At 45.2% G+C, this 13,362-nt stretch overlaps 1 protein-coding gene across 3 annotated transcripts in view, besides 2 other annotated features; it reads left to right on the top strand.

Annotated features, from left to right (window-relative positions):
- PLB1 (phospholipase B1) overlaps positions 1 to 13,362 on the top strand; it is a 148,083-nt gene that overhangs the window by 62,992 nt on the left and 71,729 nt on the right. For 2 of the 3 annotated variants that reach the window (NM_001170585.2, NM_153021.5), the window contains exons 18-20: positions 3,990 to 4,048; positions 6,229 to 6,302; positions 7,745 to 7,788. In NM_001170585.2, the coding sequence (NP_001164056.1) occupies positions 3,990 to 4,048; positions 6,229 to 6,302; positions 7,745 to 7,788 (177 nt within the window). Of the gene's footprint in view, positions 1 to 3,989; positions 4,049 to 6,228; positions 6,303 to 7,305; positions 7,789 to 13,362 lie in introns of those variants that run through there. The other variant, NR_138141.2, reaches the window with a different exon arrangement.
- Positions 7,765 to 7,824: a silencer, noted in NCBI's record as "silent region_11309". NCBI's record gives its function as "represses an Ori minimal core promoter by ATAC-STARR-seq in GM12878 lymphoblastoid cells {active_cell/tissue: GM12878}" and the evidence as "EXISTENCE:reporter gene assay evidence [ECO:0000049][PMID:35858748]".
- Positions 7,865 to 7,924: a silencer, noted in NCBI's record as "silent region_11310". NCBI's record gives its function as "represses an Ori minimal core promoter by ATAC-STARR-seq in GM12878 lymphoblastoid cells {active_cell/tissue: GM12878}" and the evidence as "EXISTENCE:reporter gene assay evidence [ECO:0000049][PMID:35858748]".

Consider the following 13,362-nt stretch of genomic DNA (forward strand, 5'->3'; position numbering starts at 1 on the left):
GTCTCACTTTGTTGCCCAGGCTGGAGTGCAGTGGTGCAATCATAGCTCACTGCAGCCTCTGCCTCCTGGGCTTGATTCCAGGTTTTTCAGGTCCAAGCGCAGTACTTGACTGCAGTCAATGGCTTTGATAATCGAGTGTCTCTATCAGTGGTTCTGAAAATGTGGTACCCAGACTGGACTGGCAGCATCAGCATTACCTGGAAACTTGTTGGAAATGCAAATCCTTGGGCCCACCCCAGACCTATTGAGTCAAAAATTCTGAAGGTGGGGCCCAGCCATCTGTGTTTTCACAGGCTCTCCAGGTGATTCCGATGCAGGCTCAATTGGAGGACCGCTGCTCTATATGTTTTGCACACATATATTTACAACTATGTATGTGTGAGTTTGTATCCTTTCATAGGAAGAGGCAAGAACTTTTACTTTTCCAATGAGAGCAAATCCTCATTGGGAGTGGCTCTCCCCATTGCAGACAGCATGAAAGAAGGTAGACAAGATGTCTCCATGAAAGGAGACGAGACCTTGGAGACCTGGAAGTCCCTTGAGTATGTTTTCCACTCAATGTTAATCCGGCTTCCTGCACAGGTACAATTCCACAGCCATGATTTGGATGTTGATGGGTGCTGTGGGTTGTATATAGTCCAGCTGTGTCAAAATCATCTCACCCTGTGTTTCACTGCAGGCCTGAAAGCTTTTTTTTTTTTTTTTTTTTTTTTTTTTTGAGACGGAGTCTCGCTCTATCTCCCAGGCTGGATTGCAGTGGCGCAATCTCGGCTCACTGCAGCCTCCTCCTCCCAGGTTCAAGCAATTCTCATGCCTCAGCCTCCCAAATAGCTGGGACTATAAGAGCACACCTCCATGCCTGGCTAATTTTTGTATTTTTAGTAGAGACGGGGTTTCATCATTTTGGACAGGCTGGTCTGAAACTCCTGACCTCAGGTGATCTGCCCGTGTCGGCCTCCCAAAGTGCTGGGATTGTAATCTGGTCACGCTACAGGCTTTATAAACTGTCTTTGGCAAAGAAGGCTGTTGAGAAAGCCTCCTGCAGACAACTTTCAGTTTATCCTTCTTAAGCACTTAACCACTGAAATGTACCAGGGTGGGCCACTCCTTGGTACAAACTCTGTACTAGGCTTCTTCCAAACCACAAGAGCTATTTCAATAATTTAGTGCAGCGTTGTGCCACTAGACACAATAGAAGCACATCGGCAAAGGTAGAGCTATGGCCAAGTCAGGGTGACCTTGGGGGTGAGGTAATTGGGGGAGTGGGAGGTGAGCTTGTGACTTGAGAGACCAAGCTATATATGGCTTAAGAAATTCTAGGGGTGGTCCCCCAAATACACTAGGATTCACTTTCTTATGTGTATAAGGTAAAGGGGTAGGTAGATGTAGTACCTGTGTGTGTATGTGAGTAATTACATATATAGCAATATCTATGTTAAACTCCTAACTTGTTAGCCAGGCATAAAAGCTTATAATCCCAGCTACTCAGGAGGCTGAGGTGGGAGGATCGCTTGAGCCCAGGAGGCCGAGGCTGCAGTGAGCCATGATCACACGCCACAGCCTAGGTGACAGAGTGAGACCTTGTCTCGAAAAATAAAAATAAAACGAATATATTGATAGATGCTACAACATAATTGAACCTTGAAAACATTATGCAAAGTAGAAGAAGCCAGACACAAAGAGTCACGTATTATATTATTCTATTTACATGAAATATCCAGAATAGATAAATCTATAGAGGCAGAAAGCAGATTACTGGTTACCAGATATTGGTTAGGCCCTGTGGCCCTAACCTACCTTTCCAAGGTGGTTTTCTCTTTGCTCTCTCATATATGCTTCATGCAAGCCAAACTGTGACTAGCTGGGCTTTCGAGACATCCAAGCTCGACCCTACCACATCCATCCATCACGCTTTTCCCTCCATCACCCGATCTCGCTCTCCCTCATCCTCCTGTTATTCCTGAGGCTTAATTCAAATGCGACCTTCTCCATGAAGCCTGCTGTGACCCCCTCCTCAGGCCCCCCAGGGGAAGATCATCCCTCCAGCTCTATAGCTTCACATCACTTCACACCTCTTTTAGTGTTTATCGGTCTTACACTATAATAACTATGGCTATTTCTCATTTTCTCCTTAGCTTGTGAGCTTTTTGAGGGCATTCTCTGTTTCTGATCACTGTGTGGTCTCCAAAGCACCCAGCCACTGCTTCGTGTTCAACATGTTTGTCCTGTGAGTTAATAGCTGCCACATCACACGGAATGCTCAAACTCAAAAGATAAAAATATGTATAGTCAAGCTGTGGAAAACAGCTTGATGCTTCCTCAAAAAGATAAGCATAGGATTACCATATAATCCACCAATTCCACTCTCAGGTGTATACCAAAATAATTGAAAACAGGCATTCAAACAAACACTCGTACACAGATATTTATAGCAATACTAGTCACAATAGCCCAAAAGTGGAAATAACCCAAATGCCTATCGATGCATGAATGGATAAACAAAAGTATGGTATATCCATACAATGGAATATCATTCAACAATAAAAAGGAATGAAGTGGTTGGGCTCTGTAGCTCATGCCTGTAATCCCAGCATTTTGGGAGGCTGAGGTGGGAGCATCACTTGAGGCCAGGAGTTCGAGACCAGCCTGGCAACATAGGGAGGCTCTCTCTACAAAAAAATAAAAAATTGGCTGGGCATGGTGGTACACACCTATAATCCTAGCTACTCAGGAGGCTGAGGTGGGAGGATCACTTGAGCCCGGGAGGTCGAGGCTGCAGTGAGCCATTATCACGAGCCACTGCACTCCAGCCCAGGTGACACAGTGAGACTTTGTCTCAAAAGATAAAAATAAAATGAATGTATTGATACATGCTATAACAAATGAACCTTGAAAACATTATGCAAAATAGAAGAAGCCAAACATAAAAAGTCACATATTATATGATTCTATGTACATGAAATATCCAGAATAGATAAATCCATAGAGGCAGAAAGCAAGTTTTTGGTTACTAAGGACTGGGAGGAGGGAGAAATGGAGAGTGACCACTTAATGGGTTATAGGGTCTCATTTTGGGGTAATGAAAATGTTTCAAAGCTAGATAGAGGTGATAGTTGCACAACATTGTGAATAGACTAAATGCCACTGAACTGTTCACCTTTAAATGGTTAATTTTAGTTATATGAATTTCATCTCAATTAAAAAACAGTCGGCCGGGCGCGTTGGCTCTCGCCTGTAATCCCAGCACTTTGGGAGGCCAAGCCAAGTGGATCACAAGGTCAGGAGATCGAGACCATCCTGGCCAACATGGGGAAACCCTGTCTCTACTAAAAATACAAAAATTAGCCAGGTGTGGTGATGTGCACCTGTATTCCCAGCTACTCAGGAGGCTGAGGCAGGAGAACAGCTTGAACCTGGGAGGCGGAGGTTGTAGTGAGCCAAGATTGCACCACTGCACTCCAGCCTGGAGACAGAGCAAGACTCTGTCTCAAAAAAAAAAAAAAAAAAAGTCAGTGGCATAAAAGTATTCCTTTTTCACTTTAGAGAAACTGAACTGATTTTTATAGGATGATGTAATATTTTATCCCAAATATCAGATCCTAGAATAGATTAAGTATTGGTTGCATTTCCATGGCAATTTCTTCCCTCCTCCCAAATCACCTTGCCAAGGGCCTGCCACCACTCGCCTTGTAGCATCTGGTCCCACCAAATGCGAGCACAGCTCCCCACTTAAAGCAGGATCCACCTTTCAGCTTCCTGTTCCTGTGTCCAGGTGCCCCAGAGAGGAAGCCAGCACTCAGACTCCACAGCTGGCATTGCAGAGCCCATTGACAAGGATGGGTTTTTCCTATCTTTTATCCAAGGTGTCTTGGTGGTAAAAACTGACTTTTTCTTTGTTATCCTGGAAGTTGTTCCTTTGTTTCAGAGTAGATGGGTCCAGTGCTTTCCTGGAAGCCCCATTTTCCACTCACTCCTGCTTATATTCTTAGTTCATAGGCTGAAGCCGGCTGACATCAACGTAATTGGAGCCCTGGGTGACTCTCTCACGGTAAGTGACCCTGATGCAGAAGGGGCAGGAGGGGAAAAGATTTTGACTAATATGAGAACCTGGAGAGGAAAATGGAGAGAGAAGGTCTCACGCCTGGCTCTTAGATGCTACCATCTCGGGTCCTGATCTCCATCTCTCCATTGTCCGACCCACCCTGGCATTCAACAGCATTCCCTTCCCATCATGGTTTCCCACCTCCATTCTGGTCTCATCTTCCTCCCCCAATGCTGAGATGAAGGAGAGAGCAGGAAGTGGAGGGACCCCAGAGGGAGTGTGGGTGACAGGAGTGACCCACCCCAAGTCACACAGCTGGTCAGCGGTGGGGCAGGATTGGACAAGATCTCCAGACCATGGTGTAGAACTCCTCCAAGGATCCAGTGCTTTGTTTTGTCCATGTAGAAAAGCTAAGGGAAGGTACCAGGAAGAGAGGTGAAGAGATGATGAGACAGGGCAAGTGCTAATGGGGGCAGGGAGGTGGGGGAGGGTGGGAAGACGGGAGTCTGTGGAAGAGGCAGATAGGCCAGAGATGTTCCAAACCCACTTCTGCATCTGCCCCCGGGTGACATCCCAGACCCTGCAAAGCACTATCCATGAAAAGCAGAATCAGGCCCTTGAGAGCCTGGGGGCTGGGAGTCCCAGAGGTTCCTAGACACAGCTTCCATTCAACAGCCTCTCATCAGAGTCCAGCTGCTATTCTCTGGGCCAGTAGAATACAGGGTCTCCAGCTGAATCCTCCCCAAGAACAAGCAGACACCTCTCATGTCTATGGTCTATCACAATGATATCATCCACTCAGTGGGATGTATCTTCATGACAAAATCCTGTGAGGCATGACTTTCTTTAGATTCAACCAATAAAGGCTGGGCCCAGTGGCTCACATCTATAATCTCAGCACTTTAGAAGGCCAGGGTGGGAGGATCACTTGAGGCCAGGGGGTCAAGGTGAGCCTGGGCAATGTAGCAAGACCCAATCTCTACAAAAAAGAAAAGAAAAAAAATTAAGCATGGTGACACATGCCTATAGTCCCAGCTACTTGAAAGGCTGGGGCTGGAAGATCACTTGAGCTCAGGATTTCGAGGCTGCAATGAGCCACAATGGTGCAACTGCACTCCAGGCTGGACAACAGAGCAAGGCCCTGTCTCTAAATCAATAAGAAGGTGAATGAAGCTGGGCAAGGTGAAGTGCCTAAGGTCACACAGCTTGTAAGTGCTCGAGCCAGGATCACAAATCAGGGATCCTGACCCTAAGTCCAGGGCCCTATCCCTATGCTGTGGCAGCCTCCTCCGTGGCCCCTCAGCCACTCTTTACCCCAAAGACCTGACTGCTCATAACCTCCCAGGAAGGACTGGCAGGCTGGGCCTTAGCAGCTTCATACACTGCTTATCCCAACCTCTTCCTGCCCGGCGGGGCCTGACATCACCTGCTCCCAATTCCCTGGTCTCCTTGAAGATACTCTCAGGACAAGGGGTCATCACATCTCGGCACAGCTGCTCAGGGGTTCCTAGGGAGGCAGCACTTTGGGTGTGAACCTGCCTGGCAGGTAGCAAAGGAACTGGGCACCAGAGAGCAGGGATCACACCTGGGGGGCCTCTCATGGAGGCCAGCCTTCACCCCCAACTGCCTGGGAGGCCAGTCTCAGCATGCCCTTCAAAATGCTCAGAAGCAAAGTGCTTTAGGCAAGGGACACGCACCTGGAGAGTGTCCACATTGTGCTTTCTTCAGCTGATGACGGCTACGTGGGATTTCATTTTATTACTACATTTTAAACTGCATAGGTGAGATATATTGGTATAAAAGGATAATGATGTATTTCCTTTTATGATATACTTCACAACTTTAAAAAAATGAGAAAAACAGGACCCTGAAATGTATCCTTTTGAAAAGGTACAGTCTAATTTCAAGAGCACTTTTGCTGGACGAGTTTTACTTGGTCTTGGCCTAGGCAGGGTTTCTTAGAATGAAGCAGAGCTGGGAGTAGCACCAGGCATTCCCAGTGGGCACTCTCACTCATCTCTGAAAAGGCAGGATACATATGGAGACATGGTGCCATCTAGACCCTAGATCCCAGAGAGTGCCCAGGTGGTCCTGGCCAGCATAAGAACATAGACCTTTTGGCAGGTAGGCAGAGGTGGGCCACTGGGGAAAGCAGAGAAACTCACCCCCTCATTGTTCCCTCTCAGGCAGGCAATGGGGCCGGGTCCACACCTGGGAACGTCTTGGACGTCTTGACTCAGTACCGAGGCCTGTCCTGGAGGTGAGTGAGGGTGTGGCAAGGCCCCAAAGGCCCCTTCATTGCAGAGCAAGGGAAGCCCCCTGAGTGTTCTAGAAAACAACGCCTTAAGCAGAAGGGTGGGCCATTTTGTTCTTTTCTATGACCAACTTCTAGGTTTAATTTGAAAAAGGTATTCACCAGCCTCCTCAAACCACTACATTGCCCAAAACAGTAGCTGAGCCTTGAGCCAGGAATCCAGGAGAGAAACTACATAAATGTTTGGGCTGGAAATGCTTCTCTGGCTTCCATTTCTCCCTCTGTGATATAATCTCAGAAGGAGGCAGTGGCCTGAGTGATGCACAGATCATTGCCTTTGGAACCAGAGTTGTAGCTGAGCCCTAGCTGCCCAGTTGGATGTAACCTTGGGCAAGTTCCCTAACCTCTCTGAGCTTCTCTCCTCATCTCTGATGCAGAAATAATGCTACTACCTGAGCACTGTCTGAGGGCTAGAAAGAATTTAGGTGTCCAGCACAGTGCTTGACACTAAGTATCTGGTAGTTGGCATTGTTATTATAGGGCCTTTATTTTGCAGATGAGGAAACAAGGCTCAGAGAGGGCAAGTAACCTGACCAAGATCACAGAGCCAGAAGATAAAAGATCAGGAAGCAGAGCAGATGCTTCCTGGCCCCCACCAGTGCATTCCCTTATCCTGTATCACTTTGGGCAGGCTTATTTCTGCTCTGTATGTGATCAAACCTCTGCTGCAAGCCCGGGCAGGTTTGGTGTTTCCTCACCTGGAATCTGGCATCTCTATCTGACACCTGCTTTAACCTGAGTGCCGAGTCTCTGGCATCCTTCCTCACGTTGCAACACAGTTAAACCCAAACATTTGGGGAACCTTTTAGATGCTCCTAGACACCCTTGGCACAGAATGGGGTGGGGGGGTGTGGAAAAGCAGGGAATCCAATCCACTCTGGAATGCTGCATATTTGCATGCCTAGAAACCCTTCTAACTTTGATCACCTTGGAATTTTATTATTGGCTTGGAAGATGGCTGACTCTCTAGAAGACACCTTTTAAAAACGGCTTTTCCAAGCCAAGCAGGAAGAGAAGAGAGAAAAAAATAGGGCCAATAATATTAATGCACGCTGCAGTGGCTAGTTGGAAAGGGGCTGGCAGACGAGGGACTACTTCCCCTTTGAAAGCAGGGGTGCAAGGAACCAACCTACCTCCCCTTCCCCAACATCAGCGAAAATCAGCCGCTGGTTTAAAGCTGGCGTTTTGTTTGGATGTGCTGGCCTATGGGGAGGGGAGTCGTATTCTGGTTTGCTTTTTCCGTTTTTCTACTGAAGTGATGGGGAAAGTGCAAGCTCCAGGCCCCCGGGCTGTTTCTCGGGAGACGGGCGTTTCTGGCTAGTGTCTGAAGGGTCTCGGCGTGGCTGGGATTTTAACCCTTCATTTTCTTTCTTGGACCCACGTTACAGCGTCGGCGGAGATGAGAACATCGGCACCGTTACCACCCTGGCGAGTGAGTACGCGGCGGCGGCCGGGATGTTTGGTTTGGGGCGGCCCCTGCACGCTTCCCGCTCCCCCTGCAGGTGGCGCGGGCCTCGGGAGGAGCCCCGGCTGCAGGAGCCCGCTAAATTCACCAGGGGGCGCTGCCTCCCGAGACTGCCGCCCAGCTCCGCTTCCGACAGTGACGAAAGCCTTAGAGTTGGGGGTGGAACGAGGTTCGGGGCTTGGGGGCCGGGGGCGGGGAGGTGTCAAAAAGAAATTGTGTTTGACCAAAGGAGGAAGAAAGTAAAGCGGGGAAAAAGATCACCTCTTAGGGCAAGTCATTAAAAAGTGATTCAATAATCTGGCATGAGATTAGAGAGAATAAAGAAAAGTGATTCAAGAAAAAAGAAAAAGAAACCCGGTTGTGCGGCGCCTGCCTTTCCCAGCAGATCACCCCCGCGAGAGGCATCGATCCAGGCACCTGGGGCGCAGGCACAGCTGCGCACAGATATTGAATTGCGGGGTTGCTGTAGGAACCGCTGCTATTGCCGCAGGAGGAGATGAAGTTATCTTGTGCAGGCTGTGCAGACACAGCCATTTTGGGACTCAGCACTTTCCTTAATTTACTTTCCATCAACCTGCTCGGAATGATTTCTTTCTCTTTTTTTTTTTTTTTTTTTTTGAGATGGAGTCTCACTCTGTTGCCAGGCTGGAGTGCAGAGTGGCGCCATCTCAGCTCATTGCAACCTCCGCCTCCCTGGTTCAAGCGATTCTCCTGCCTCAGCCTCCCGAGTAGCTGGGACTACAGGCCCCCGCCACCACACCCAGCTAATTTTTGTATTTTTAATAGAGACAGGGTTTCACCATGTTGGCCAGGATGGTCTCGATTTCCTGACTTCGTGATCTGCCCGCCTTGGCCTCCCAAAGTGCTGGGATTACAGGCGGAATGATTTTTTAAAGTCTGATTATATTCCTTGAAGGGTCTGATCTTATCTTTTTAAAATTCTCGCCAGTGCGTACACATCTCCCTGCTTGTTCTTAAAGTATGCAAGCGATACATATTTAAATTGAATTCTTCCCCTGGAATCTTCTGGCTGATAATTTTGCCTGGGAGGAATTTAACTGGTCCCATTTTCATTTACTTTCCTGGTACATAGCCCTTTGTAATATATATTTAGAAGCTAACAACTTGAAGCCACCAAGATTTGGATGAGGGGGACATCATAGCTTAATCTCCACATAGGCAGAGCAGAGCTGAGCAGACTTCACTTTATCTGTTTTGGTTATTTGTAAATCCTGTCGAATTTAGGTAGACAGGGTTCTGTGCCACAAGCACTCCCTGCCTTCTTTATATCTAGGTCTACACACATGAGCTATAAATCAGTTCCTCTATTGCTAGGAGATGGTTCAGGGTGCTTTTGTGAGTGTGATGAACTTGGCTGTGGGATGGCCCAATGTATGCAATAGCTTTCTGGGCTCTTTACTTCCCATGCTCGTATTATGGACAAGATAATTGGATAATATTTGGCTTCACCTCTTTCACCAAAGTAATTTACAAAGGATTGAGACAATGTTACCCCACAGGTGGATGACTCCCCTGACACACTTAGCCCAGAAATGGATTATCCGCTATTTAGACTCTTCTTGCTAGAGATGTGAAGACTATTTGATTATAGGGGCTAGATAATCCAGGGGGAAGTAACTATATGGAAACGTGTTAGAAAACTCATAAGAATGTAAGGGCAGAACAGAATCCCCGTTCAACCCCCTGTTCAATTTAATCCAGCAAATATTCCAGTGCTGAGTGCTTGGAAAATAGGAGAACAGTGCTCCGATGACATCACCAAAGTGTCTTTGGCAGCATGTCTTCCTAAAGACAGACACATGACTAATATTTATAGATGTGTACAAAGCTTAGGGGAAAATAAACATAGAGGCTGTTAACCCTGTCTTCTGAAAAGGAGCGTCAAGAATTAGAATTCGTCAGGTAAGGAAAGGGGAGAGAATGTTCCTGGCAGAGAGAACTGCCTGCACCAGCAAGTCGTTGCCCTATCCAATGTGTGGTTCCTCCCTATGATATTCTTGCTAAGTAGCTGGGTAGACTGTGCTGAGTTCCTTCTACCTCCTAGGGAAGCTGCCACCTCCTAGGACAAACCATTCCACTTTCAAATCGCTCAGGTGATTTCACAGTCCTTTTTTCTCTTGAATAGAAATCGGAGCAATTTCCATTTATTAGTGTAATATCCCCAAACCTCAAGGAATGAGTCCAGTCCATCTGTGCTGAGTAAACCTGCAGCAGTGCTGGGTTCTAGCAGGCACTCTGCTGAATGGGGCCCTAAAGTCCTGGCTGCTACCCGGCCAGTTTCTTTCTCACATCCTAGCAGATTGTGAGACAGCGGGGGCAAGTGTCCTTGTGTTGGAGCTGAGATACTAGCCATTCTCAGCACCTACATGTCTTTGAACAAATCTCCAAGCTTGTCTGAACTTTGTTTTATTTCTAATTCAGTCCATAATCATGTATTGAGCATTATATGAGGCCCTGGGGTATATATAGACCCTGCTCTCAGGATGGCTCAGCCAAGTTGGAAAGATGAAAAAGTGAAAAGTGTGGATCCATATTAGTAAAGGCAATTAGAATGCATGAGATTGCAAAGTTCAACAAAACTGACAAAACTTTAGACTGACAAAAGGGAGGGGAAATGAAAATCAAGAATGAAAGAGGAGATACTACCAACCTTACAGAAATAAAAAGGATTATTAGAGAATACCATGAACAAATTGTATGCCAATAAATCAGATAACTTGGATGAAATGGACAAATTCCTAGAAAGGCACAAACTACTGAAATTGAATCCATAAAAAGTAGAAAATCTGAGGCCAGGCGTGGTGGCTCACGCCTGTAATCCCAGCACTTTGGGAGGCCGAGGCAGGCGGATCACGAGGTCCAGGAGATCGAGACCATCCTAGCTAACACGGTGAAACCCCGTCTCTACTAAAAATATAAAAAAATAGCTAGGTGTGGTGGTGGGCGCCTGTAGTCCCAGCTACTTGGGAGGCTGAGGCAGGAGAATGGCATGAACCCTGGAGGCAGAGCTTGCAGTGAGCCGAGATCACGCCATTGCACTCCAGCCTGGGCAACAGAGCGAGACTCCATCTCAAAAAAAAAAAAAAGAAAGAAAAAAGAAAATCTGAATAGATTTATAACAAGCAAAGAGATTGAATTAATAATTTTAAAACTTCCCACCAAAAAAAGCCCAGACTGTCTCTGACTTCGCTGGTGAATTCTATCAAACATTAGTATCAATTACTAGTTCTTCACAAATTCCTCCCAAAAACAGAAGAGGAAGGAATGCTTCACAACTCATTCTATGAGTTTTACCCTGATAGCAAAATAAGACAAAGACATCACAAGGGAAGAAAAGTATGACCAGTAAGTATTATGAATGTAGACCCAGAAATCCTACACAAAATACTAGCAAACAAAATCCAGCAATATGAAAAAAAAAGTATACCTCATGACTAAGTGGAATTAGCCCAGGAATACAAGGTTAGTTTTCAACCTCAAAATCAATTAATGTAATATTCTATGTCAATAGGATAAAAGACCAAAACCACACATCATGATCATCTCAATGGATCAGAAAAAGCATTTAACAAAAATGTAACACCACTTAATGATAGAAACACTCAACAAAGGCCGGGCGCAGTGGCTCACGCCTGTACTACCAGCACTTTGGGAGGCCTAGGTAGGTGGATCGCTTGAAGTCAGGAGTTAGAGACTAGCCTGGCCAACATTGTGAAACCCTGTCTCCACTAAAAACACAAAAATTAGTTGGGTGTGGTGGCGGGTGCCTGTAATCCCAGCTGCATGGGAGGCTGAGGCATAAGAATAGCTTGAGCCTGGGAGGCAGAGGTTGCAGTGAGCTGATATTGCGCCACTTCACTCCAGCCTGAGTGACAGAGTAAGACTGTCTCTAAATAAATAAAGTAAAAAAATACTGAACAAATTAGGGATAGAAGGAAAATTCCTCATTCTGATAAAGGGTATCTTTTAAGAGCCCACAGCTGACACCATAGGCAATGGTGACAGATGGAATGCTGCCCCCTCTCTCTGATATCAGGAGTAAGACAAGGATGCATGCTCTTGCCACTTTTATTCAACATCACACTGCCCATGGCAGTTAGGCAAGAAAATGAAAGAACAAGTACCAAGATTGGAAATAAAGAAATAAAACCACTTCTATTTAAAGATGAGATGATATTATATAGAGACAATCCCAAGAAATCCACTAAAAATTATTAGAGCTAATGAGTTCAGTGATTGCAAGGTACAAATCAATATACAAAAATCAATTATAATTCTTTATACTAGCAATTAATATGAAAATGAAATTAATTCCATTTACAATAGCATCAAAAATAATGAATAAATTTAACCAAATTTAACCAAAAAAGGGCATCGCTTTTAAGATCACAAAACATTGCTGTAAGAAATTAAAGACCTAAATAAGTAGAAAAACATCTGACACTCATGGATTAGAAGATTTAATATTCTTCATAATACTCCCCACATCAATCTACGGATTCAATGTGATCCCTATCAAAATTCCAGCTAGCTCCTTTGCAGAAATTTGCAAGCTGACCCTAAAATTCATGTGGAAATTCAAGGGACCCAGAATATCCCAAGAAATCTAGAAAAGAACAAATTCAGAGGATTCATACTTACCAATTTCAAAAGTTACTATAAAGCTATAGTAATCAAGACGTGGTACTAGCATGAGGATAGACATATCGAACAGTGGACTAAGATTGAGAGTCAGAAATTAAACTCTCATATTCATGGTTAACTCATTTTCAGCAAGGATGCCAAAACCAATGGGGGAAAGAATCGTCTTTTCAATAAACTGTGCTGAGACAACTAGATAGTTACACACAGAAAAATGAGGTTGAACTCCTACCTCACACTTTATACAAAAATTCACTCAAAATGAATCATAGACCTAAATGTAAGAGCTAAAACTAACTCTAGGAAGAAAATACAGGAGCAAATCTTTATGATCTTGAGCTAAACAAAGTCTTCTTAGATATGCCACTAAGACAAGTGACAAAAGAAAAAAAAATCGATATTTTGCGCTTCAAAGGATGTCATATCATATATCAAAGAAAGTAAAGACAGCCCAAAGAGTGGAAGAAAACACTTGCCAATCCTATATCTAATAAGAAACTTACGTCTAGAAATTATAAAGAACTCTTAGAACTCAAAAAGATAACCCAGTTAAAATCGGGCAAAGGATCTGAATAGACATTTTTCCACAGAAGATATGCAAATGACTAGTAAGCACTTGAAAATATGCTCAACATCAGTAGCCATCAGTGGAAATCAAAACCACCATGAGATACCAAGTCACATCCACTAGCATGGTTATAATAGGAAGACATAATAAGTGTTGACAAGGATGTGGAAGAATTGAAGCCCTTGTAAACTGCTGGTGGGAATGTAAAAATGGTGCACCTGCTTTGGGAAAAGTCCTGGCAGTTCCTCAAAAGGTTAAACAGGGTGAGGGTTAGAGTTAAACAGAGTTTAACCTTTTCCACTCTTAGATAC

The sequence above is a fragment of the Homo sapiens genome, chromosome 2 (genome assembly GCF_000001405.40).
Source record: "Homo sapiens chromosome 2, GRCh38.p14 Primary Assembly".
NCBI lineage: Eukaryota > Metazoa > Chordata > Mammalia > Primates > Hominidae > Homo > Homo sapiens.